Source organism: Homo sapiens, chromosome 15 (genome assembly GCF_000001405.40).
Source record: "Homo sapiens chromosome 15, GRCh38.p14 Primary Assembly".
Classification (NCBI taxonomy): domain Eukaryota; kingdom Metazoa; phylum Chordata; class Mammalia; order Primates; family Hominidae; genus Homo; species Homo sapiens.
Window position 1 is genome coordinate 73,734,707 of NC_000015.10, and position 25,268 is coordinate 73,759,974.

The following is a 25,268-nucleotide window of genomic DNA, read 5'->3' on the forward strand; positions in this document are numbered from 1 at the left end:
ACTAAATCTGTCATTTAGTATTTGTTAAAAGATGTAGCACGGTACCTGACATATATATACTAGGTTGTCAATAAACATCAGTTTTCTTACACAAGTCTCAGCTGTGGAATGGGAGATGGGTGGGTGTGGGAAGCGCCGGAACAGAGAAACAGAAAGTCAGGAGTGGACAGGGTGGAGGGCTGGTCTTGTTGCCTCTGGAATTCCCAGCCCCACTACACCCACTTTCCCTTCTTGTTGACAAGTCCTCATTAAGGACAGGGGATGGTGCTGGGGTCTCTGAATAGTTTACCCTCCTTTCTGTCCCTTGATCCCATTAGACCACTTCTGTGGATGACATCATCTGTCCCTCATCTATAAAATACAGACAGTGATGCCTCCTCATTCTTAGACACCAAAGACATGGCAATGTGCCCACCCTATTAATGGAGTGTCAGGTTGGGGACCCCCACCCTTCCCAGGACATCTCCCAGAGTGGTCTCCTCACCAAGCTGACTTGCCTCCCACTTCTGGTTCCTTACCCTGGCATCCCAGGCTAGACCCAGCAGCAGCTATGGCTCCCTTAGTGCTGAAACCCCACACCCTTCAGTTTTGACTTTCCCCAGCCCCAAGGCACACCAGACCAGACCCTCACAGAGGAGTTGTGTATACCTATGTGTGCAAGCACCATGACACCTGGTACACAGGAGGTCTGCAATAAAAGCTGATTGAATGAATGCATAGTGGATACCCTTCTGCAAATGGGGCTCGTTTATTCATTCAACAAACATTTATTGAACCCATAATCCATTTGGTGCCAGTCTCCGAGTCAGGGGTGGTGACATTCAGGTTAACAGTAACTAAGTTCTCCAAAGACTGAGGCATGTTCACATGTTTCCTCACCCCAACACTCCCCTCACCCCGAAGACCCGCCTGGCTCTCAGACGACCCAGCCCCGACCCTCACCTCCAGTGACCAGGCCACCCACTCCAGGCATTTTAACTGCAGTGGATGTTTGCAGTAGATGATGCTAAGTCACTGTGTTTGTGGTTGAATCCTGGTTCCATAGCCCATCCTGTGTTTCCTTAGGCAAGTTACTTCACTTCCCAGAGCCTCAGTTTCCTCATCTGGAAGCTACTTAGACATAAGTAAGATTGCTTATCTCATACGTGCTGTGAGGAGTAAATGAGATAAGACATACACTTAGAACAATGCCCAGTGCCTAGCACGTGCCCAGTGGACATGAGTTATTCATCATGCTATGACTTCTCTCCATCACCAGGTTCCAGCTCCCTTCTGCCCCTCCACAGCACCACTCAGCACAAGCCTGTGCACACAGTAGGTGGTCAGTGGAATAGGACTTCCCGGAAGCAGAGAGATCTGATGGAACATCCTGGGTAAAGAAACTCAAAAACTGGCAAAGGTTTGGAGGCAGGGAAGAGCAGCAAAGGGCTGTACCTGGAAGGTCTGGAGGAAGGACCCAAGGGATGGCTGTGTCTACCCCAAGGACAGGGAGCTCACTACCCAGAAGCAGCCCATGCCATGACTCAGCAGTGTTGAAAGTCAGAATTCTCTCTATCCCTAGCTGGCCACATTTTGTGTTTCAAGTCTGAAGAAGCCACTGGGGCCAGGTGCGGTGGCTCACGCCTGTAATCCCATCACTTTGGGAGGCCAAGGCAGGTGGATCATCGGAGGTCAGGAGTTCAAAGATGAGGCTGGCCAACATAGTGAAACTCCATCTCTAAGAAAATACAAAAATTAACCCGGGCATGATGGTGGGTGCCTGTAATCCCAGCTACTTGGGAGGCTGAGGCAGGAGAATCGCTTGAACCCAGGAGGCAGAGGTTGCAGTGAGCTGAGATCACGCCATTGCTCTCCAGCCTGGGAGATGGAGCAAGACTCCATCTCAAAAAAACAAAACAAAAAAAAATTGGCCAGGCGTAGTGGCCCACGCCTGTAATCCCAGTGCTTTGCGAGGCCAAGGTGGGCAGATCACAAAGTCAAGAGATCAAGACCATCCTGGCCATGTGGTGAAACCCCATCTCTACTAAAAATACAAAACTTAGTAGCTGGGGTGGTGGCGGGTGCCTGTAGTCCAAGCTACTCAGGTGGCTGAGACAGGAGAATTGTTTGAACCTGGGAGGTGGAAGTTGCAGTGAGCTGAAATCGCACCATTGCACTCCAGCCTGGATGATAGAGGGAGACTCCATCTAAAAAAAAACAAAACAAAACAAAAACAAGAAAAAGGAAGCCACAGGGATCCCACTCCACTGTCAGGAGGTCCAGACTGGGTGTAGCAAAATTGTGAAGTCAGCCAAGTACTACCTATATCCCACTTCCCCCTCCTCCAGGATATACTCCCACCACTGCCCTATTTGGGGGCAAATGGCCAGGCAGGGGAGCAGGGGGCGACTGATGGACATTAGCCACTACTACAGAGTCACATAGAGCCAGTGTGGGGTGCAGGATCCCATGGCTGTGTCAGAGACCCCTAGCTCTGGCCCTCAGTTTCTTCCTCTGTGAAATGCGAACTATTCCATAGGTTTCTTTTCCCTGACTGTTGAAAAGATGAGAAACTGTGAGCCTGAAAGTGCTCTTGCCATGACAGATGAAATGCAAGCCTCAGAGGGAGAACTGTTATGTCCATTCTTAGCACCAGGTAGGCCCATTCCTGGTCGGGGACTGCCCCCTTCTCACTCTCAGGGTGGGGCGGAATGCAGCTGGCCCCTCTCCCCAGAGGAGCCCCTGGCACTCATCCTGTGAACCAGAGCCCTATCGCTGATCAGCACCAAATGGCTGAGGATTTCCTGGGGCTGATAGAGGGGCTCAGACCCTTGGTTCTCAGACGTGAGCTGGGAAGAGCTGGCCATGGCCTGCGCCATCCCTGGATTTCCACACTGGTGGCTGCACCCTGGCTAACTCTTTAGGGCTCCAATCTCACCATGAGCTTGAGGAATAAGCTCTACATTGCAGAGCCTCCTAGGTCTGCTCAGTCTTATCCAGATCATATCCCCTGCAGCTGCTCCAGACCGGCCTGTACAATCTCACTGTATGTCCACAGCCGGGGCTGGATAGCACCTCTTCAGGCAGGAGCAGTGGGTGCTGCCAGGCCTGCTGCTCAGGCCCCCTCCGGACAGACGCTGGGGGGCTGTAAACCTGCCTTAATTGAAATATGCAACAGGGAGGCCCCCAAGGAGCGATGTCTTTGCTGTGCTGCCAGTCCCACCTCCCTGCTCTGAGCGAGGGGCTGTGAATCAAGCTGCAGTCAACTTCTGACCTCGAGCTACTGCGAGGGACCAAGCAATGGAGTGTTTGTGACCCAGGGGTGGCTCCCAGTTGGATGGAGGTGTCTTCTTTGGCCATCCCACTCAAAGCCCCTGTGCCCTGGAAATCACTGGACATCTGGGTTGAGGCCACACTGACCACAAGGCATGTCCAGTGCCTTCAGTTTGTCAAGTGCTTTCACAGTCACCATCTCGTCGGAGCTCCACAGCAGCTGGTGAGGTAGGTGAAGACTACCAGACCCATTATACAGAGGAGGTAGATAGGCTCAGAGAGGCAAACGGACTTGCCAAGGTCACACAGCTGCTAGCTAGCAGAGCCAGGCACAGCCTGGAAATCACTAATTCTTGGGGGCAGAGTAGCACAGGCTTTGTGGCTTTGGGGCAGGTACTGAACTACTTTGAACCTCAGTCATCTCATTTGAAAAATGGGGATAGGTGGGGGCACAGTGGCTCACGCCTGTAATCCCGGGACTTTGGGAGGCTGAGGCTGACGAATCACTTGAGGTCAGGAGTTCAGACCAGCCTGCCCAACATGGTGAAACCCCGTCTCTACTAAAAATACAAAAATTAGCTAGGCGTGGTGACGCATGCCTGTAGTCCCAGTTGCTCTGGAGGCTGAAGTGGGAGAATTGCTTGAACCTGGCAGGTGGAGGTTGCAGTGAGCCAAGATCGCCCCACTGCACTCCAGCCTGGGTGACAGAGCGAGACTCCATCTCAAAAATAAAAAAAATAAAAATAAAAAAAGAAAGAAAGAAAAAGAAAAATGGGGTAATAATACTTCCTGTCTCATCAGGTTATTGTGGTGATTAAATGAGATGCTGCTATAAAAAGTATTCGGCATAGAAGTAGCATAGAGACCTGCTCAATAAATGTGAGCAATATAATTGTCATTATTATCCCAAGGATATTCAGCTGCTGTCCCTGTGCTGGCCATGCCCCAGATGAAGCCCTGGTACCTCTAGGCTGTAACCTCATCTTTGTTCAGGACCTGCTGAGATGGGCTCAGGGGCTGGGTGTGGAGACATCGGGACGGAGTGGGGACCACTGGGCTCCTTTCCAAGGCTGCCCACCTGGTGAAGGTGGCCAGGAGCCTGTCTACGGCCCTAATTTTTAGCCCCATGGAAGTGGCTGCCTACTTCCTCGCACAGATCTCAGGTCTGCTTAGGGCCACGCCAGGACTGGCTGAGGCTTTGCCCTGAGGTTTTGGTCTTGGTCTCAGAATCAGGCTGAGAATGGGAGCTGAAAGGATTGGGGGTGGTCCAGACCCTCCAATCAAACCCCTGCCCAGCCCAGGCGATCCTTCAGGCTCTGTGGATGCCCAGCATCCCAGCACGGAGGCCTGCGCCATGGGAGCAGCTTGCCATTCCCCTATGTCCCAGGCAACCCTAAGATGGAAGGGGGTGAGGCAGGACTGTGTATAGCCGAGTAAGTCTGCCTTGGAGTAGAAGGATGGTGGGTGCAAGTGACGCAGGGCCTGGCCAGACTGATGCCACCCCCAGGCCCTGAGTCCTGCAGTCTCCAGACCACCCCGACTGTGAACCCTGGCCTAAAGGGACACCACTCCCTTTAGAGCCCGCCTCCTGCAGGGGAGTCCCCTCTAGGACATGGCCCTGGCCATCAGCCAGACTCCACCACAGAGTTCAGGGGCTAGCAAAAGGAGGATCAGACCTCCCATCAGTTTTACATACTTTCAGATACCCCCTTCAGGAGCCCCGCAATGAGAACGGAGGAAGGGCAGTCCTGCCCACACCTCCTGGGACCTAGGAGGCCAATGGGCATCTTCATGTCTAAGAGGAGCTCTGTGAAAGCTTTGGGGCCTGTGGGGCCAGATCCTTAGCATTTTTAAATTTTATTATGACTTCATTTGTTTAAATATATATATATATATATATATATATATATTTATTTATAGCTCTATGTGCCCACCGCCCCCGGCCCCCTCCCCGGCCCCTAGTTTTTCCCCCTGGCTTTCTGTCTAGTGGCTGTGTAGGGCAGAACCGTCTGCGTGCTCTTGTCTGACACTGTCTGGGTGCTGCTGTTCCTCGTGACCCTTCGAGTCTGTTCAGGGGCCAAGGTAGAGCCTGAGTGGCGGCTGGTCAGTGGAGAGCGCCGTGACTTGTAGGGGGCTGGGGAGGGCTTGTGGGGGCCTGCATGGGCCTCTGTATGGGCAGGCTCAGGGGGCAAGCCCACTTCTTCCTCCTCCACCTCCTGCTCACCGTCCCCCTCCTCATCGTCACAGCACAGAGCATGGTAGAGCACTTTGTCACTGAACCGCACCCTCTCCCGTGTCCCTGGGGTCCGCTGGGGCAGCTGGCTCTTCACCGTGGGGCCAGCACCAAAGGCCTCCTCACTGGAGGAGTCTGGGGTCTCCACTCGTGGCCCATTGGGGATGGGCGTGCCACCATTCATGAGGCGGTAGTCAGGGCCAGCCCCTGGCCGAGTCGACTCGGGACCATCCACGGAGTCCGAGGGGGTAGAGACGTCCAGGAAGGAGCAGAACTCCCAGCTGTCTGAGAGGATATCGGCTGTCATGAAGTCCAGGTGGCCCAGGTCAAAGGGGCCACCCATGCCCGCCTTGTCACTGCTAGAGGTGCTGCTCACAGTGGCCGTGGTCCAGTCGTCCGGCTCCAGTTCAAAGTCGAAGTCCGAGGTTAGCTTATCGATCTGGCTCACCACCTGACCAGGGAAGGGGAGAGGAGATGAGAGGGGCCAGGTGGGTCCCTGCATCAGCCAGGTGTGAGTGTGTCTCCACCCCATCCCTGTAGACCCCTGGCTGATGAGCGTACTGGACAGGGGAGAGCCTGTAGGATGGTGACTGGCCTGGAGGTCACAGGTTGGTTTGCCCTGTGGAGGGCCCAAATCAGATCAGGCTGGACAGAGCTTGTTCCGGCCCTTCCCAAAGGTCTGTTTACCACTGTTCAGTGCCCTGGGGGAGAGGGAACTGCTTTCCAGCCCTGCACACCATCCATTCACTCACCCCTGTCTCTCAAACACAGCAGCTGCTCTGGGGGCAGCCCTGGTGATCAGGGATGAATCTTCCTTAGTTTGAGAGGGGGCCACTTCAGAGGGGCTGAGGGCCTCCAGCAAGCCCATTCCACAAAGAGCTGAGCAGCCCATGCACCCTCAGAGAGGAAATGATGTGGGTGATCACAAGGAAGACCCTGTGTGGGCTTTCTAAAGCATCCTGGACCAGTCCTTGCAGCTGACTGGTGACTGTCGCCCCTGGGTCTCCACCATCCCTCACGGCAAGAACACCAGGTGTACAGCACTGGCTGGGTCACCCCACCCCCATCTCCATCTCCCGGAGCCTCCTCATTCCTTCCCCTTCCCTGCCCACTGACAAGTGGAGATCAATCCTGGCTTGTTGAGAGAAGGAATAAAGCAAGCATTATTTGATAAGCAATAAAGAAGCCATCTATTCTGGGCCCAGAGCTGCTTGTTCAATGCACTCAGGGGGCAGCTCAGCTGTGGAGGTCACTCCACCCTGGCCTGCCTCGCATAAAGTGAAGCCCTTGGCTTCTATACAGAAGGCCCTGGCTTGGGACACTCCCTTGCCTGGGTGGCCACTGTCAGCACATAAATCAGGGAGGAAGACAGTGAGGGAAAGAGGGAGATCCAGTCAGAGACACAGGGATGGGACAGGGCAAGAGAAGGGAGAGAGAAGATTCCAACCAAAAACAAAACAGAAAAACAATGAAAACAAAGCAGCGAGGCCAAGAGTCAGAGTAACAGAGACCAAGAGATCCACAGTGAGTCATCCAGATCAGAATCCAGCCCCCAGCACCTCTCTGGCGCCCTTCAACCTGGGGTCAGAGCAGGCAATTAATTAATTAACTCATTAAGTCCTTAATTCAACAAACAGTTGCTAAGGGCTGCTGCTGTCCAGGGATGTGCTAGTATTTGGCAAGGAGTGGGGGTAGTGAGTGCCCCAAAGTGAGAGGAAAGCAAGGACAAAAGTGATGGCCAGAGTGGCTTGGGCCAGTGGGAAGACTACTTGATCAGGAGTCAGGGGCTGGATGCAGGAGACCTGGTCAACCATTTTTCCTCTGTAGGTCTCAGTTGCCCAGTCTGTAAGCGAAGAGGGTGGGTGAACTAGTTTATTTCCAAGGTTCCTTCCATGTCTGAGATTCTAGGACTCTGTTTATAGGAATGACTCTGAGAGGCTGCTTGGGTGCTGATGCCTAGGGATGGCCCCTCAACCATTGCCCAGGCCAGGAGTGGGGAAACCACTTGGCTGAGGCCTCCAGAAGAGCTGGAGGAATCAGGACATCTGGATTCCAGACTTAGCTTTGACATTGTTCTGTGTGTCTTTTGGAAGATCACAGAACCTCTCTGGACCTCAACCTCATTCACCTCCAAGTGGGTATGACAATCCCAGACCACCAAGTGAGTATGACAATCCCAGCCAACCTTATGAGAGCTTCATGAAGGACAGTGAGAAGGGCAGCAAAAGGACTCTGCAAAGCACTGGGGATGAAAATGACACCACCTCCCATCTCTGAGCACCTACCATGCACCATGCTTTCGAGTGCTCACCTCCACCCATGAGATCATTATCTCCTGTGTCTACAGATGAGGAGTCTTGGGCACTAGTCCCTGGAAAGCTGAGAATCTCCCCCTGCGGCCCCCTGCAAAACTGCACACCATCATGAAGTGCTGCTGTGACTGCTGGGCTTGGGCAGGCGGCAGGGATAGGGCCCTACCCTCCAATCTGGCTACTTCTTCTTGTGCTTCTCCCAGGATGATGCCTTCCTGCCCCAAAGGAACCTCAGAGAAACTCCTATCTCCCAGAAGCCCTTGCTCAACCCAAGCTCCACCCAAGGGCTGGTGGGAGCACTGGCCTAGCGTAGGGACACTCAGACTTGAGTGTCCCTCAGCTCACTCCCCAGAGTTTCTGGTTCTGCTGGTCTGGGGTGGTGCTGGAGAAGGTGCCTACCTAGTGTGCCTCCAGGTGCTGTTGCTGCTGGTCCAGAGACCTGCTTTGAAAACCACTAGCCTAGGGCACTGGGAGATTTAAGCTGGGTGAAGACCAGCAATTCAAGGCATTGATGGCCTCAGGAGAGGCCCACCACCTCTGGGGCAGCTATGCCCTCAAATGAGACTCCCCTGATCAAGCCAGAGCTGTGGAGTTTGCTGCTGCCTGAGGGCGGGGCAGAATGCCAGTAGGAATTGGAGTTGCATGACTTGGCTGTGACCTCACAGGGTCAGCTGAGGCCAGGCTGGGCCCAGAAGCTGGGTCTCCTGATGCTTAGTGAGGACAAGCACCATTGGGCCTCAGGCAGGGAAGATCCAGGGTACACATGGCAGGAGCCCAAGCCTTCAGGCTGGAACACTCCCCCAACCCAAGAAGCCCTTCCTCTTCTTTATTAGTACACTCCTCTCTGGTTCCAACCTGGGGGGATGGAGGAAAGAGAAAGAGGGAGGCCTGCATTCCCGAGTCCCACGTCTGCCACCTCTTGGCTGAGAGACCTTAGGCAGATGATTATCCCCCTCTGGGGCTTGATTTCCTGTCCTATAAAAGGAAGTAACACTCCCCTCCTCACCCAGGGTGATGAAAATTTAACAGATATGGGCCGGGTGTGGTGGCTCATGCCTGTAATCCCAGCACTTTGGGAGGCCGAGGCGGGCAGATCATGAGGTCAGGAGATTGAGACCATCCTGGCCAACATGGTGAAATCCCGTCTCTACTAAAAAATAAAAATAAATTAAAAAAATTAGCTGGGCGTGGTGGTGCGTGCATAGAGTCCCAGCTACTCGGGAGGCTGAGGCAGAGGAATCTCTTGAACCCAGGAGGCGGAGATTGCAGTGAGCCGAGATCGCGCCACTGCACTCCAGCCTGGCAACAGAGAGAGACTCTGTCTCAAAAAAAAAAAAAAAAAAAAAAAAAAAAAAGAAAGAAAAAGAAAATTTAACAGATATGAATGTGTCACAGAGTCAAGATAGCTAAATACTTAAGAACCTGGGCTCTGGAGCCAGACATGGAGTCCTACCCTGGCTTCACTGCTTACCAGCTGTGTGACCTTGGCCAAGTTACTCAACGTCTCTGTGCCTAAGTTCATCATCAAAGGAGAATTCTAGTAATACCTACTTGATAGGGCTGTTGTGAGGATTTAATGGCTTAATGCGCTTTGGACAGCATATGGAACAAGGCAGACTACCAACATCTACAATGCACCGTTGGGGGCTAACATGTGATCATGCCCCCGCACCAGGCCTAAGAGCAGTGGGAATTAGTTCTGCACCAAAGGAATGACCCTCTGATGTGGGTCCAGTGACTGTGGCAGAATTTCCAGTGCCTGTGGCAGAATAATGGGACATGCCAGGCCTTTCAAAACCTAGCACATGGACAGTACCTATTTTGCCCAAAGTTAGGGCTGTCTCCAGAAAGAACAGAACCAGAAGAAGTTCTAAAAACCAACTGGCTATGAGGCCCACAGGCAAATCTGGCCCAACCTATTAGGTGAGACAGGTCACACCACTTGATGAATGACATAGTGAGGATGTGAAAGGGAAGCCATGTGCCCAAGGGTATGCAGCTTCTCTGTGGGGGGCCTGGGTCAGTTCACAATCCCCACTGCTCTTCCCTGGTGCCTCGTTTCCTGGGCCAATGGTGAGGGCAGGTGTGGAGCAGACCCCAGTCTTGTCTTGCTCTCTGCTTTGGATGTCTTGAAATCTGTGATTTTTCCCTGAGGTTTAATAATCATTTTGCCTACATGTAATTTGGGATTGTCTTGGAGTGCATGGAAATAATTATATACACAGAAGGAAAGAGAGGGGGAGAGAGAGAGTGGAGAGAGAAATTGAACCATAAAATTACAGAATCAGACAACCCCCAAGCCAGAAGGGACTGCAGGCACTGTTGAGTCCACCTGTCTCAATGTGTTTGCCGAGGGGGGCAATGAGGCTCAGAGACTGGGAGGAGCTGAGCTGGGACCAGAGGGTGAGTCTTGACTCCTGGGCATTGCACCTTAAGACCAAGAATGACTTGCTCTGAAGAGACCAAGAGGGAGCCCTAGAGAGCAAGGGCAGGACTGAGGGCTGTGGCAGAACCTGCAAACCTCGTGCCAGAGGTGTCCCCAACCTCTGTCCTGGTCACAGCCTTAGCGCCCCTCGCTGAAAAACTGCACCCATCTAGTCTTTCCACCGATAGCAACTTCCTCCCAGCTCTTGCTTCATGCTGCACCTAGGGAACTTTCTTATCAGCCAACAGGTCCACGTTGCCCCTGTGCTTCCAGCCCTTCCATACTCCCCAAACTCCTAAGCCTCCCAAACATAACTCCCTACCCACCCCCTTTCCTCTCCAGCAAGCAGCCTCCACCCTGCCAGGCCTGCCTCCTCACCACCCCTACACACTCACACTCCATCGAGCTCACTTCTGCCTCTGGGCCTCACCTGACACGCCCTCCCTCCTTTCCTACTCACTCCGTCTTCACTTCGAGAAGGAAGCCTTCCCTGATCCCCAGCTGAGGTCAGGTTCCCTATGAAAGGCTCTCAAAGCACCCTGCACCTCTCCTGAAAATGTTACACAATATTTAACACTGCTACAATTTTGCACCTATATGTTATAACGTGGTTGATGTCTGTCTCCCCACTACACAGTAAACCCCATGAGGAGCAGGACTAGGTCTCTTGCTCACCGCTACATCCCCAGCTCGGCACAGGGATCGGCACATTCTGCAAACACAGCTGTTGGATGAGTGATGAGTTGAGACAGATGGCTTAATAAAAACTACTCGGGAGGCTGAGGCAGGAGAATGGTGTGAACCCAGGAGGCAGAGCTTGCAGTGAGCCGAGATCACACCACTGCACTCCAGCCTGGGCGACAGAGCGAGACTCCGTCTCAAAAAACAAAACAAAACAAAACAAAACAAAAAAACTGCTGGGGGCTTCTTTTCTGAGGAAGAGTTCCATAGACCTGGACAATCCTATATTGCCAGACGCCAACCCTCTCTCCAGCCCTGGCTGAGCCCCCTCTCCAGTGGAAGCTTTGCTGTGTTCCTTAAGGCCTTAGAGCTAGGACTGAGGACCTGTAGTCCCAGAACCAGCATCCTGTACCCCCGGACCCCCCACCACACCCCCCACCCTGCCCCACCTCACCTCCCCTGACAAGCTGCCACCTCCTTCCCTCTCTCCCAGCTCCCCAAGGCAGCTGGTTACATAACTGGGGATTCTGCATTATTTATGACCACTGATTATTTTTTAATTCTGTGATTACGTTATTATCTTCTTGGGGGGCTGTGGAGTTGGAGGGGCAGCGAGCTGATCGTGATTCATGGCTCTCATCCTGCAATTTGGCCTAATTGGCCAGGGAGCTTTGGTAAATCTGTCCGGAGGAGGAGAAGGCAAAGGGAAAAGGGAGGAAAGGAAGGCGTGAACAAAAATAATAAGAAAAAAATCCACGCAATTCTTGCTGAGCTGCAGGTGATGGAGCTGACCCACTTTGGCGCAGCTCCGTGGTCCCCAGCCTCTCCTGCTCCAGCTGCTTCCTGGCTGGGCCCCATTTATCTCACACTTGCATGGCCTATGGCTTTCCCTGCCACCTTCAGACAAAGCCCCTTGCCGATGGGACTGCACAATGGAATGGCCAGGAAACAGAATGCCAGGATGACTGCTTCCTAGGCAAATCCGGTGGGGGATCCTCCACTGCCACCCAAGGCTGGGGAAACGTTGTGCCAACCCCTCCATCTTCCTGAGGTGTTTGGGCCAAAGTGAGCAACTGTGCCCTTAAGTTATATCCCACCCAAGAGTCACCGATGATGTGGGAGACACTGGTGTTAATGCAAGGATCACTATTGAGCCCCCATGTTGAGTGACGCCTGGGGGAGGGGGAAACCAAGGATGAGGAGGCCAAGTACCTGCTCAAGGTAAGCTCAATACCTGGGGGCCAAGGACAGGGGCCCTTAACCCTGCCTTTGGGAGCTTCTGGTGGGTGGGTAACAGGGGAGCAGTGGGGAGGCAGATTCCCACCCAGAAACATGACCAGCAGATTCCTGGAGAGTGTGTGGGATTCTCACTGAGAACGAATCCAAATTCCGTGCATGCTGTGCATGGCTCGACGGAATCTGACTCCCTGCTCCCTCTTTGACCTTTCCTCTACTCTTCTCCTTGTTCACTGCCCTCCAGCTGCTCTGGCTTCCTTAGCTGAACCTGCATATGCCAAGCACACTTCCTCTTCGAGACCTTGGCACCGGCTGCACCCTCAGCCGGGAATGCTCTTCCCCTAGATAGCCATGTGACTTGTATCCTCACTTCTGTGGGGTCTCTGTTCAAAGGCCACCTTATTGGAGACCCCCTTCCTGCCCCCATCCCTGTCACTCTCTATCTGCTTTTCCCACTGGCAGGGAGTGAGACTGCTGACTGCAGGAGAAACTAAAGGGCCCCAGCCAGGAGGCCAGGATGTGGTCCTGACCTCCCTGGTCATGGCTAAGAAACTGATGTGATTCCAGAAAACAAGGCCGTACGTGGAGCTGAGGAGCAGGCCAGTTTTAGAATAATTCATTAAAAACATCAAACAGATACGGAGTGAGCTTTGTGCCTCTCATTGTGCTAAGTGCTTTATATATGTCTCATTTAATTCTCGCAACAACCCTGGGGCAGGGGTAGGGGAGGATGCCTAAAATGTAGTCTCCCCATTTTTACCAATGGGAAAACAGAAGCACAGAGAGGTAAAGTAACTTTCGCAAGTTCACACAGCTAAGGAGAGGGTGGAGCTCAGATTTGAACTACAGGCATCTAGCTGCAGAGCCCATGCTCATAGCCCCTGAGCTGTTCTGCATCTCTTACTTAAGATCTACAGAACTTTGAGGAGCTTAGAGAACCTGCTGGGACTGGCCCGGTATCCTGGAGTACTGGGGAGCCTGGGAGAGATAAGGGCTAATTAACGATTGACCGTCATATCCCTCTGCAGCACAATTTTAGCTTTCAAAGCACTTTTACATCCTCACCTCACTTAATCCTTTAAAAGACTTTCCCCACCAATGGGATAGAACTTGCTCATCGCCCAGGGAGCCAGTGGCAGAGCTATAGTAGGGGTTTGCGAGGGCGAGGGAGGTGTGGGAGAGGGAACTTCAACTCTTCTAGGAGTGTGAGTAGGTGTTGATCCCCGCGCCCCCAGCCCACTGCATGCCAAGCCCCTAATAAATCCTTATAAGATCACCGTGCAGTGCAAATCACCACATCCCAATTTCAGAGATGAGCAAACTGAGGCTGAGGGACCTGGGGAGGAAGTGCTTTGGTGTGGCTCATCTTTCAGTGAATTTCAGGCCATATGCTCGAGAGGATGAGGAGAGTCTGCCATGATCAGTGGCATCAGGGGGCTGGGGAAGGGGAGCAGCAGGCAGAGGAGGAAGATGGCTGAGGGGAATAAAGCTAAGCCCTTCCACTCCGCTGGCCTTGTTCTTTCACCAAGCATATGTGCAGCCCCCCACCCCCAACAGTCTTGTATGTGACTCTCATCTCCACTTCTAAGTGCTTGGCCTGAGACAAGAACACAGCTGGTGGGCTCTAAGCTGGTGCTGCCCAGGTCATGGGGTGAGGTGAGGGAACAAGTGAGTGCCTCTCAACCTTGAGCCTACCCATGCCCCCGATAAAAAAATGCTACACAAAGGGACTGAGGAGAGCCAGGCAGATTCAGCTTTACAGCTCCCTTGGAGAGCCAAGAGCCAAGACCACAGGTTCCAGAGAGCAGGGAGATTCCAACCCTTTTCTCCAAACCGGGGTCTGGCACCCCCCCTTGGTAACCCCATCCCTGGCAAATCCCATCTCACAGGAAGACGGTGATGGCATCTCTTCTTTTGCTTGGGCCTCCCAGAGCTTCACCTGCCTTCCTCCACACTCCCCTCTGCCTGTCACCCTGTGTCTAGACCCTGCCTGGGGGACGAGAGAGTTCTGAGGCTTACCCACTCCCCCAGCTGGGTGCCATTGGCAGCGGGCAGGCAGTGGCATACGGGGTAGGCTCTGGTTGCCGTAGCAACCTGCCAAAGTCTTGGGTGGAGGCACATGGCCTACAGGGTGTGTGGGGGGAGGGGACTCATTTTCTCTGTCCTGGCTGAGGCCTCTGGGCTGCATAGCCTGTGAACCTGGAGCTCTGCTATTGGAGACATGGGAGTGGGTGAGTGTGAAAGGGAAGGAGAGGGCATCTAAACGATCTGCAAATAAATCCTAGAGCTATTGCATCACAGATGAGCATAAGAGATCATCTCTGGAAGGCCCCTGTCAAAATGCAAAGAGATCGCCCAGTAGCTCACCTGCTGAAACCCCAGAAAAGGCATCAGGAACCCGAGTTCTAGGCATACTTCTGCCACTGGTAGGCTGTGTAACCTTGGACAAGCCCCTATTGCTCTCTGGGCCTCAGTTTCTTCAATAGTAAATGGACAGAGCTGGTCTGGATTACCTATGAGATCCTTTGAAGCTCTGGGTGGCTATGCGGTGGGGAGAGGGAACACAGATGCCTGGAAGATGCCCAACTGGGAAAAGGCTGGGAGTTGTATCAGAGTTGACTCCCAGGCCTAGAGTCAATCCTGGCTCTTTGTGGGTACCTGCCGGGGCATAGGTCTCATGTCCCTGGCCAAGACTGAGACTTTGGACAGTTCCCATGGCCCTGATCTAAAATAAGATGGAGGCAGGGGGAAAACTGTAGTGCCTTGGACCCAAGAGTTTGGAGGAGGAAGCGTTCCGCAGGGGCATCTGGCGCTTGATCTCCAAATTGTACTGTCCAAAGATGTGCAACCCAGACTATGGCCGGCCCAGTCCATGGGCAGAAGCACCACCACCTCAGTCTGCCTGAAGCAACAGTCATTCTCATCTTCTGAGATGGGATTTCCTGGTAGGCTCCACGAGGCTGACCCTGGACAGCTCTTGTCCTGGCATCTCTATGCCCACTCCCTATCCCATTCTGAACACAGTGCCCTTCAAACAACCCCTCCTCCTTGGCTCTCAGGCCAGGCTGCAATGCCACTTTGCCAGCCTGGAGTTGGTACCTACCATCACCCCACCTCTTCAGCCTTCCTAGAGCCCCTATCCTCCCTGCACAGCTGGCCAGGGAGAGCTTGAGCCCATAACTCCAATTCAATCACTCTCCCTGCCATCTCTGCAGGGGCCCTGATTACAAGGAGTTGAAATTTGCCTAAAGCCCACCTGGCTGGTATAATGGCACCCAGTGGGCAAATTCAGGCTAGCAGCTCAGAACGCTGGTCATGCATTTTGGACTCGAACGCAGCACAGGGGGCAGGGCTGAAGACATGTGTACCTCATTACCCTAGCGATGTGAGAAGCAGTAATTAAACCAGGCTCCACTTAGAAAGACAGAGAGGGACACACACATCCCAGCATTTCTCAGTGGCTTTTCAGCCTTGGCAAAAATATTTAGAACAGTGGGATGGAGACTCGCATCCCCTTAGGGAAGACTCCTGCCCCTGCCAAAATATGCAAGGAACTCTGTTATCCACTACAGCACCCCCAGACCCATTCTTACCCCCGGACAAAGAGGACATAGCTGGCTTAAATTTTTCCAAGATCAAGGGTTCTCAGTATCTGTGTGATTTCTAGGGATATGCTTTGAGCTGGGCCTCAAGCAGTGGAAACCACCTCAGCACAACTATCTGCACTCTCCCAGGGTCCCTTGTGACCAGATCAGAGTCTGGGAGACAGATGGTGGGTTCAAGGGTCAGCTTGGGTCCCAGAAGGTTGTCTTCCACTAAGAAGCTGTGGCGGGATTCAGTCCTTACTGGCCATCTTGGCAGCCCTTTGTGCTAACCCAGAGCTCCAGGCCCACTGACATGCTGCTCAAGTAACCTCTACAACACCGAGGCCCCTCCAGCCTTGGGGTCTGATGAGATTTTTAGCAAAGCAGATTTGCGGAAAGGAGAGCAAGGAGAAAGAAGGTCCCCAGTAGAGTGACACATGTGCACGCAGCTTTGCACACTCCAACGTATTTATGAGTACGTTTTTGTGCCAAACCCAAGAAGGTTGGCTTAGGGTCTGTCTGGTCCCTCCTCACCCCTCACTTACCTCCCTCAGCTCCTTGGCCACCTCCTTGAGCTCGCGAAGGATGCCCTCAAGCTGCCCGATGACCATCTTCATGCGCTGTCGAATCCGCTCCCGCTCACCACCACTGCTGGGGTCGTCACTGGGCTGCCCGAGGTCCGGGGCGCCCCGAATGTTCATCGTTTACCACGTGGCCGCAGGCCTGCCCATACTCCCCCCAGCTGGGCACACACTGCGTCTGCCTCCACGGAGCCCCCCTCGGCTGGGCAGAGCTCCACATTTTAACGGCCCCCCAGCCCACCCTGGCCCTGGGCGGCCCTCAACCAGCCCCTGCCCCCTGCCACCCAGCCTCCTCTGCCTCTGGGTGGAGAGTGGGACACCCAGAGGGAGACAGAGTCTAGCAGAGGGGGTCAAGGTGAGGACACAGGAGAGGAGGGGGAGGGACCTTGGGTCCCAGGAGTGGCCTCCAGGTCTTGAAGTGCCTGTGGGTGTGCAGAGCTGATCTCTGCCTGAGCTTGAACACAGAGGCAGGGGGATGACTCTGCAGGGACTAAGGGTAAGAGATGCCCTTGGGATGGGGGAAGGCAGCAGGGATCCCCTCACAACTCCTAGGCAGTTGCAAAGGCAGAGGTCTCTGGATGCAACTGACACCTGCAGAGGGATGGTGGCCAGGGTCTTCCAGATGTGGAAGGGGCTCCGGATATGGGCAGCTCTGGGGAGGGAGCTGGATTGGAAGAGGGCAGCCCCCTGCGGAGAGAGCGAGCCTGGCGTCAGCCCTCCCAGGCTGCAGCACCAGCCGGCAATGCCGCTGCCTCCCTCCTCTCGCCAGCCTGCACCCTTCCTCGCTGGGGATTTTTTTTTCTTTGTGGGGAGGGGTGGTGGAGGCAGACGGTTTACAGCACAGCCCCTCCTCTAGAGGGAAAGGGAGGGAGCCCCTGCTTTAGAAGCAGAAGTCCTCAGCCTGCTACGGGGCACCCTGGCCGTAGCTCCCGCCCTCCCCCCCCACCTTCCCCCCAGCCAGGCCTGCCCAGGCTGGTTCACCAGAGGGCCTCTCCAGTCACCCATCCTCCCTCCTAGCGCCCCCAGGGTGCCCTCGTTCCCAGCGGACCCTCCCTCCCCCAGCCCCGCCTTCCCTCAGAACCCCCACTCCTGGACTCACCGAGGGTGGGGGCACCGGCCTTCCCTCCAAGCAGCGTCGGGGGCCAAGCCCCAAGACGGAGTTGGGGGGCCCCCAAGGCTCCCTAGGGCGGGCTTCTCTCTCTGGACCCTTCGGCCCCGGGCCTCAGGGAGGTCCTCCGAGCCGTGACCGGAGACATCTGGGCGGTGGGAGGGGGCGGGGCCTCCGCGCTCCAGGGAAGGGGGCAGGAAAAATCTTTCTCAAGCCTCTCCAGGCTCGGGGTCGGGAATGAGCGAGGGTCCGGCAGATTTGGGGCTCCGAGGCCACAGGTGACCGGGGCGCGGGGAGGCCGAGGAGACGCCGGGCAGGTCCCAGCGCGTGAGCCAAAGTCGGAGGGCTGGGAGGGCGCCGGGATCCCCTCAGCCCACGCCCGGCATTCCCCGGGCTCTGCACCGTCCGGGATTCGCTCTGTCCAGTCCAGATCGGCCGGGTCCGTGTTCCGCTGGGGTCTGCCCTGCCCTACCCCGCCCGGAGTGAGCTGGCACCGCCGGGCGCCCGGGACGCGCTCAGCCCGGACCCAGAACGTCCGTGCCCCGGCACCCGCGGCGTCCGGAGCGGCCGCGAGGGTCTGCTCAGCCCAGCCCCGCGGTCGGCCCTGGGCGAGACCGCTCCCACGGCTCAGTTCACGTTCCGAAAGGTCCGGAATCCACCGGGTCCCCGAGGAGGGGCGATGTCAGCCGCGGGGACCCGGTCCCCGCCGGGCCCAGCCGAGAGCGCGCGAAGCCGGGGGCCCCGGCCGGGCTGGGTTCGGCGGCCCGGGCGCAGGCGGGAGCAGCGCCGGGCGGAGGAGAGGAGAGGAGGCGAGAAGAGGCGAGGGGAGGAGGCGCGGCGAGGGGAAGGGAGGGGAGGGGGCGAGCGGCGGGCCGGGCCGGGCCGGGGCGCACTAGGCTCGCAGCCTCCGCTCGGCTCCGCTACCTCCCGTCCGTTCGCTCTCGGCTCCCCGCCTCAGCAGCCCCCGGGCGCCGGGTCGCCGCCGGTGGGGCAAACAGGCGCCGGGTCGGGGCTGGGCCTCCCTTCACCGCCTCGCCCTGCCCTGCCCCGCCGGGCTCCCGGGGCCTGGGCCCGCTCCCCAAGCGCCGCGGCGCCGCGCCGCCCGCGCCCCGGCCGCCCCCGGCCCGCCCCGCCGCCCCCCGCCGGACTGGCCGCCCGGGCGGGCGCTGGCTCCCTTAAAGGCCGCCCGGCTCGCTTGGCTCCGCTTGCCTCGGCGCTGTCAGGGAAGGGGCCGGCCCGCCGCGCCGGGAGGGAGCTTTTAAAGCGACACACACGCCTCCCAACCCCGAGGGCCAAGCGTGCGAGCCAGGGGGGTCTCGCCACCCGGGCGAGGGGGAAGGGTCTCGCTGGCGGGGCTGGAGGCGGACTGACCGGACCCCACGCCGGCTGACCTGGGGCGCGGAGGGACAGCGTTCTGGGGACTTCGTTCCTTTCCCACCTCTCCAGACACCCCCATTGCCCCCTTCCCCTACTGCACTGCCCCCAAGCTTCCCTTTTGGCCACGTTTCCCGCATCCAGACCCTCCCTTCTACCACCCACATAACCCAGCCCCTGACCTTGCCTGAAATCACATTCATTCAGAAAATAGAATACTGCCAACCTTTCCTGAGAACCTACTGTGTGCCAAGCTCTGGGTCGGCAGGGCTGGGGGTTGGAGGCTGTCTTGGACACCCATCGTTTCCTTCAGCTATTCAACAATTGACTCATGTATTAGAGGCCTTCTGTGCATCAGGTTCCATGCTAGGCTCCGGGGCCACCAGAGCATTTCAGGAAGCTCACGGCTCGGGGACACTCCTGAGTCACAACAGAGGCAAATTCTGGAAGCAATGTTAACAGGGGAGTAGGGAAGTGTGGGTTGGGTGGTGCAGTTCAGGCCAGGGCCTGGCGGGTTCTGCCAGGTAGGCCACCCCTGAGCTGAATCTCAAAGGAGGAGTAGGAGTGACTGTCAGTGTGGGGGGTTGGGGATCAGCATTCCAGGCAGGGAGGAGGGTGGGAGCACAGGCTCAGAAGCAGAAATGGGAGGAGGGGAGTTTAAGTTAACTGGGGCCTTTTAGATACCATTTTGACTGCAGACCACAGAGAGACTCAGAGACCATGGTTAGGAGCTTAGATTTTATCCCGGGGCGGAGGGAGCTTTGATATTGGGAGGAACCTGGGCCTGCTTGCCTTCTCAGGAAACCCCTCTGGGGCATTGTGAGTGGGTGTGAGGAGGTGCCACCGAGATAGAGCAGTTAGGAGGCTATTTCACCGTTGGCCAGAAGACAGTGGAGTCTATGAATCTATGCTCATGAGAGAGGCTGGGGCTTGAGAGTAACATTTTGTTTGTTTTTTTTTTTGAACCATCATTAGAGGGGTGAGATGAACAGGGACGCTGCGTAGAAGTAACAAAAGCAGTAGTTCTGGGCTGGAACCTCAGAAAAGAGTCCATGAGTGAGAGGGAGGAGTGATTAGAAAGATAGGAGAAGAACCAGAAAGTGGAGAGTTATGTAGGCCCAGTAGGAGGAGTTTGGGAGAAGCAAGTGCTCATCAGTGTCGAACGCGGCAGGGAGTGGCTGTGAGAGAAGGAACAGAAAGTGTCTATTTGTCTTGGTACTCAGGAGGCCACGGGTGACATGGCAGGGGCAATTGGTTTTGGAGGGTAGAAGGTGACAGGAACCAAACTGTTGGGCATCGAGGACTATGTGCCCAACAGTGAGGAACAGGAGTGAGTACAGATGACATTTTCAAAAGTTTAAGTGGCGGGGAAGCAGAGATCTTGAACTAGAGGCAGAGGAGGGGTCAAGGGAGGTGGGGCTAGGTGGTGGTTTTAGGCTGGCCCATGGGGGACTTGAATTCCAGAGACAGTGATGGTACTGTGGGTGCTAATGATGTTCCTTGGTCTCTGAGTTATCTCAGAGATGTATTCACAGGGGGCTGCTGGGGGAACTGACTCCTACTTCCTTGAGATTCAGCTCAGGGGTTGCCTTTGGAGAACCAGAAGCTGTGAGGGTGGGAATCCAGCTGCCCTGGGTTGGGGAGATGTTCTTCTGATGGGGTGGATCCAGAGGGCCCACCAATCACTTAAAAAATTGTAGCAAAATATGCGTAACATAAAATCTACCTTTTTTTTTTTTTTTTTTTTGAGACAGAGTCTCGCTCTGTCACCCAGGCTGGAGTGCAGTGGCGCGATCTCGGCTTACTGCAAGCTCCGCCTCCCAGGTTCATGCCATTTTCCTGCCTCAGCCTCCCAAGTAGCTGGGACTACAGGCACCCACCACCACGCCCGGCTAATTTTTTTGTGTTTTTAGTAGAGACGGGGTTTCACCGTGTTAGCCAGGATGGTCTCCATCTCCTGACCTCGTGACCCGCCTGTCTCGGCCTCCCAAAGTGCTGGGATTACAGGCGTGAGCCACTGCGCCCGGCCTAAAATCTACCATCTTAACCATTCGTAAGTGCATAGTTCAGTGGCACTAAGTACATTCACATTGTTGTGTAACCATCACCACCACCCATCTCCAGAACCTTTTCATCATCCCAAACTGAAACTCTGTGATTAAGAGCTGATAGCAGCCACTCTCTGTGGAGCACCTACCAGGCACCAGGCACTGGGCCAAGTACTTCCACATGCATTATCTTATTCCATCTCACAGTGACTTTCCATCACCCCTCCCCCCGCCAGCCCCTGGCAACCACCATTCTATCTTCTGTCTCTGTGACTCTGACTACTCTAGGTGCCTCATATAAGTGGAATCACACAGTCTCACCAATCACTTTTGTGGAAGCAGTGATGCTAAGGAACAGCCGAGACCAAAAATGGGCTAAGCCTGAAAAAAAAGAGTTTCTAGTCTTAGGTCCAGGGAATCATCCGCCCTCATCCAGGATGAGGGAGATGTGTTTGAACTGGCAAGGTTAGGAGACAGTGAGCTTGATTGGACAGGGTGGACTGTGACTGCTTAATACATAATTGATCTCGGGTCTCATTAATAGAAGCACAGTGTTTTGAAAAAGGGAGGTAACATTTCTTCTGTCATTTGTGTGGATCAAACTGTGCCTAGCACCTCAATTCATTGGGTGTGTCCATAGGAGGACAGCCAAGTAGAATAGGGGAGGTGACTGGTGTATATGTTCTATGAAGGATGGTAGGGCTGGTCAGAGCAGGCTAGAGAAGAGGAGACTCAGGAGAAGGGGTCTCTGATTGTAAATCTCCAAAGAGCTGCCACAGGCGAGAGGGAATAGATAGTATCTGGGTGGTGCTCAGACCTGCCTTCCTTAGTGTTTGGGGATTGATCCATCCTTTCTTCCACCCAACCTCCCTGGCCACCTGCCTAGATGTCCCATCCTTTAGATCTCTGCTTATTCACCGCCAACCTCCACCCTCTAGGCAGCCTTCCCTAGTGCTTTAGTCTACGGAGAGAAATGGAAGCACTTTTTTTTGCCCTTAACCAAATGCTTCCCAGGGCATTCATTTAATGTGCTAGCTGTGTGACCTTGAGCAAGTCACTTAACCTCTCTGAGCAAGGATAGCAGCCTATAAACATTTTAATTCTTTCTTGAATTGGGTCTCTTGTAAAAAAAAAAAGGGGGGGGGATGTATTTCACTGTCTCTCTGATTCAGAAAAATCAGGACAATAATGACTACTTTCCAGGGTCACTGTGAACATGGAATAAGATAATGCACATGGAAGTACTTGGCCCAGTGCCTGGCACCTGGTAGGTGCTCTGTAAATGGTAGCTGCTATCAGCTCTTATTCATGGCTTCATGTCTGTAAGCCTTATTTCCATGTGAGTCTGTGAACTCCTCATGATGGGCTTGTGTGTGTCTGCCCATCTCTCACATGGACCACTGCAGTAGACAGTAGACAGCGATTTTTACCTGTCTGCCTGTTTTCCACCATCCAGTTCTAGCATTCCTTTTCTTGGGGAAACTCCCTGCTGTCATCACATAATCCTAGTGGGTTGTCAGTTAAAGTGCCCACTACTCCCACCCATCCCTATCCCACTGCCACTAACTAGGCATGTGACTCAGACTGCACCAACCGTGGAACCCCATCCTCCAGCAACAGTGATTGGTCCAAGGGGTGGGCACATAACCTAAGCAGGACCAATCAGATTCTTTCCCTGGGATTGATATGTGGATGCTGGGAGGAAGAACCCCTCTTCCTAGTGGGGTGCAAAACTGGATGTTATGGTCCAAACCTGCTGACAAGCCATTTTTCCCACTCAATCTAGGAAGCTGAGCAAGGCAGCAGAGAGGAGAGGAATTTAGAGAGCATGCTAGCAGCATTGAGTCCCAGTTTTTGTTCTCATGGCCTTCACTCCTGCAGTTCTTCTTTCAGTCTGGAGAGCTGCAACAACATCCTACTCATCTCTAAGAGCTGATAAATTCCTCATATTGCTCCAGTTCGTTTGGTGGGGTCTCTGTCTCGTGTAACCAACTGGAGCCTGACAGATGCACTCAGGAAATACTAAATGAGCTGACTAAATGATTGACTGAGTAATTGGGTTCCCAGATGGGGTAAGATGTCTCCAAATCCTGAAGCCAGAGGGTTGGGACCTGCTGCCCTGTGGCCATGGAGGGGAAGTGGGGGCATTTGGGAGATTATTGCAACAGGCCAACTTGGATTTGGGCCCCAGCTTTGTCATTTGCTAGCTGTGTGATCTCAGGCAAGTTACTTGCCCTCTCTGAACTTGAGATCCTTTGTCTATAAAATAGGCAAAGTACTAGTGACTGCCTAGGGTTGCTTTGAGGATGGAATGAGATAAGGAGCAAAAAGCACCAAGCACAGTGCCTGGGGTGTGGGGGTGAGGGAGCAGGAGTTGGAAGAATGGTAAGAAATGGTAACTGTTTTTATTTAGTCTGCAGTCTACTCTCTCTAATAGCGCAGGACTGAGACTGGCATGCAGCTCAGGAGAGAACGAGGATTCAGTCTGCAAGCTAGATTCTCAGAAGCAATGGATCCTGACACCAGGGAAGCAGTGCCGGGGTGACAGTGGGCATGTTTGGGCTTCGAACAGATAATAGAGACAGTAGAGAGAGTCTACAGAGAGAAATGGAAGCACTGCCTAACACTTAGGCAGTAGAGTTGGAATGATAGGGCACCAATGCCAGCTTTTCCATTAACCATGTGACTCATTTAATCTTCCCAAGCCTAAGTTTCTCGTTCTGTAAATACCTTCCTGGTAGCTGTCTTGAGGACTAAATAAAACAGTTCATGTATCATGTTCAGCACAGGGCTTAGTAGGCGTTTGATAAGTATTACCTATTATTATTGATATTGGGGGCTTAGGGAAATTTTCTAAACACAAAGGTTGGGATGAGTGGCAGTCAGGTGGGATCAGAGGCAAACTTTTCATGACAAAGTCCCCAAATAAAGGAGTTATAGAGAATCATATCTGAATAGCCAAGGAAAGGCCATTTCAGAATGACAGGGTGACATATCTCCTTCTGTGGCTGGACAGTGTCGGGTTCACACTGGGAAAGCCATGTCTGAGGACATTTCTGTCATCTTGCTGCCCACAATAATCTCCCCAGCTGAGTCAAGTTTCTCAAGAGTTTTCTACACTGACTCCTTCCACTTCCTCACTTCCCACTCACTCCTCAAACCTTGTAACCCGCGCCTGCTGGCACTGCATTGCTGGAATAACCCTCACTGTGCAGGACATTATCCTTGCTAAGACCAGCAGACACTTTTCTTCCCCTATCCAAGGCAGCGACCTTGGGGGACCTGACCCTGCTGAGCTTGTCTTACTTCCGGGTCCCCTGTCCTGTGTGGCCTCATGTCTCCTTTCTCTACTGATTCCCTTCCTGCCTCTCTGGCTGCTGCTTCTCAGTTGGCTTCAGGTGTTCATCTTCTTTCTCTGGCCCCTTAAAAGTTAAGTCCTCAGGGCCAGGCACGGTGGCTCATGGCTGTAATCCCAGCACTTTGGGAGGCTGAGGGGGGTGGATCACGAGGTCAAGAGATCGAGACCATCCTGGCCAACAGGGTAAACCCCATCTCTACTGAAAATACAAAAAAATTAGCTGGGTGTGGTGGTGCGTGCCTGTAGTCCCAGCTACTCAGGAAGCTGAGGCAGGAGAATCACTTGAACCTGGGAGATGGAGGTTACAGTGAGCCAAGATTGCACCACTGCACTCCAGCCTGGTGACAGAGTGAGACTTCGTCTCAAAAAAAAAAAAAAAAAAAAAAAAAAAGCTGGGTCCTCGAGATTCTCGTCTAGACTCTCTTCTCACTCTATACACCTTCCGTAAGGGAGCTCTTCACACTCCCAAAAAGTTTTTGACTTCCAATTCACTGTCTCCAGAGGAGACCTTTCCAAAGCTTCAGATCATATTGCCACTTGCCTACTGGACAGTTCATGAGGTTGTCTTGCAGGCACCTAAAACTCAACATGCCCAAGTTGGAACCCATTACCTTTCCTCCAAATGTATCCCCTTTTGTCTTCCTAATTTCAGAGAATGTCAATGCCCTCTACTCCTCCATGCACGCCACAAACTTGTGATCGCACTAGAGTCAGAGCCAGAGTTAGAGCCACCCTAGAGCCAGAGCTCTTCCACATTTCTTCAGTTACTAAGTCCTGTTGCTTCCACCCACTTTATCTCCCTGTCGATAACCAGGCTCTTGATTGCACCCATGAGCCCCTGTATTAGCCAGCAGCCTCCTGATGGATCTGCTAATCTTCACACTTACCCTATGAAGTCTGCTGTTGCTGTTGCTGGTACCAGCCTTCTGATCTACCCACTTATGACCATCCACAGCTCCCTGTCTTTATGAGGAAGTCCGGTCTCCCTAGTTTGGCGTCCACATCTTTCCAGGAGCCTGCCCTTGTCTAGCTCTCCAACCTCATCTCTATTGCCTCTTGCTCTCTGTGCCTCTGCC

General features: G+C 54.1%; 1 protein-coding gene across 6 annotated transcripts, besides 1 other annotated feature; it reads right to left on the bottom strand.

Moving 5' to 3' along the window:
* Window positions 1-751: 751 nt before the first annotated feature.
* Window positions 752-18,645, bottom strand: INSYN1 (inhibitory synaptic factor 1). 6 transcript variants are annotated; one of them, NM_001384353.1, is made up of 4 exons: window positions 17,404-18,645; window positions 16,269-16,991; window positions 5,862-5,936; window positions 752-5,770 (listed from the first exon to the last, which is right to left on the bottom strand). In NM_001384353.1, exon 4 carries the CDS (start codon window positions 5,667-5,669, stop codon window positions 5,211-5,213), a length of 459 nt encoding a protein of 152 aa, NP_001371282.1. In that variant the 5' UTR covers window positions 5,670-5,770; window positions 5,862-5,936; window positions 16,269-16,991; window positions 17,404-18,645; the 3' UTR covers window positions 752-5,210. The 6 variants fall into 6 exon arrangements, with proteins under 6 accessions (NP_001371282.1, NP_001371281.1, NP_001290183.1 ...); NM_001384352.1 differs by having other exon boundaries at window positions 752-5,766; window positions 16,269-17,156; NM_001303254.2 differs by having other exon boundaries at window positions 752-5,936; window positions 16,269-16,391.
* Window positions 16,762-17,535: an enhancer, noted in NCBI's record as "H3K4me1 hESC enhancer chr15:74043809-74044582 (GRCh37/hg19 assembly coordinates)". NCBI's record gives its function as "activates a minimal SCP1, AML or CMV promoter by ChIP-STARR-seq in primed H9 embryonic stem cells {active_cell/tissue: H9 hESC(primed)}" and the evidence as "EXISTENCE:reporter gene assay evidence [ECO:0000049][PMID:30033119]".
* Window positions 18,646-25,268: the final 6,623 nt, after the last annotated feature.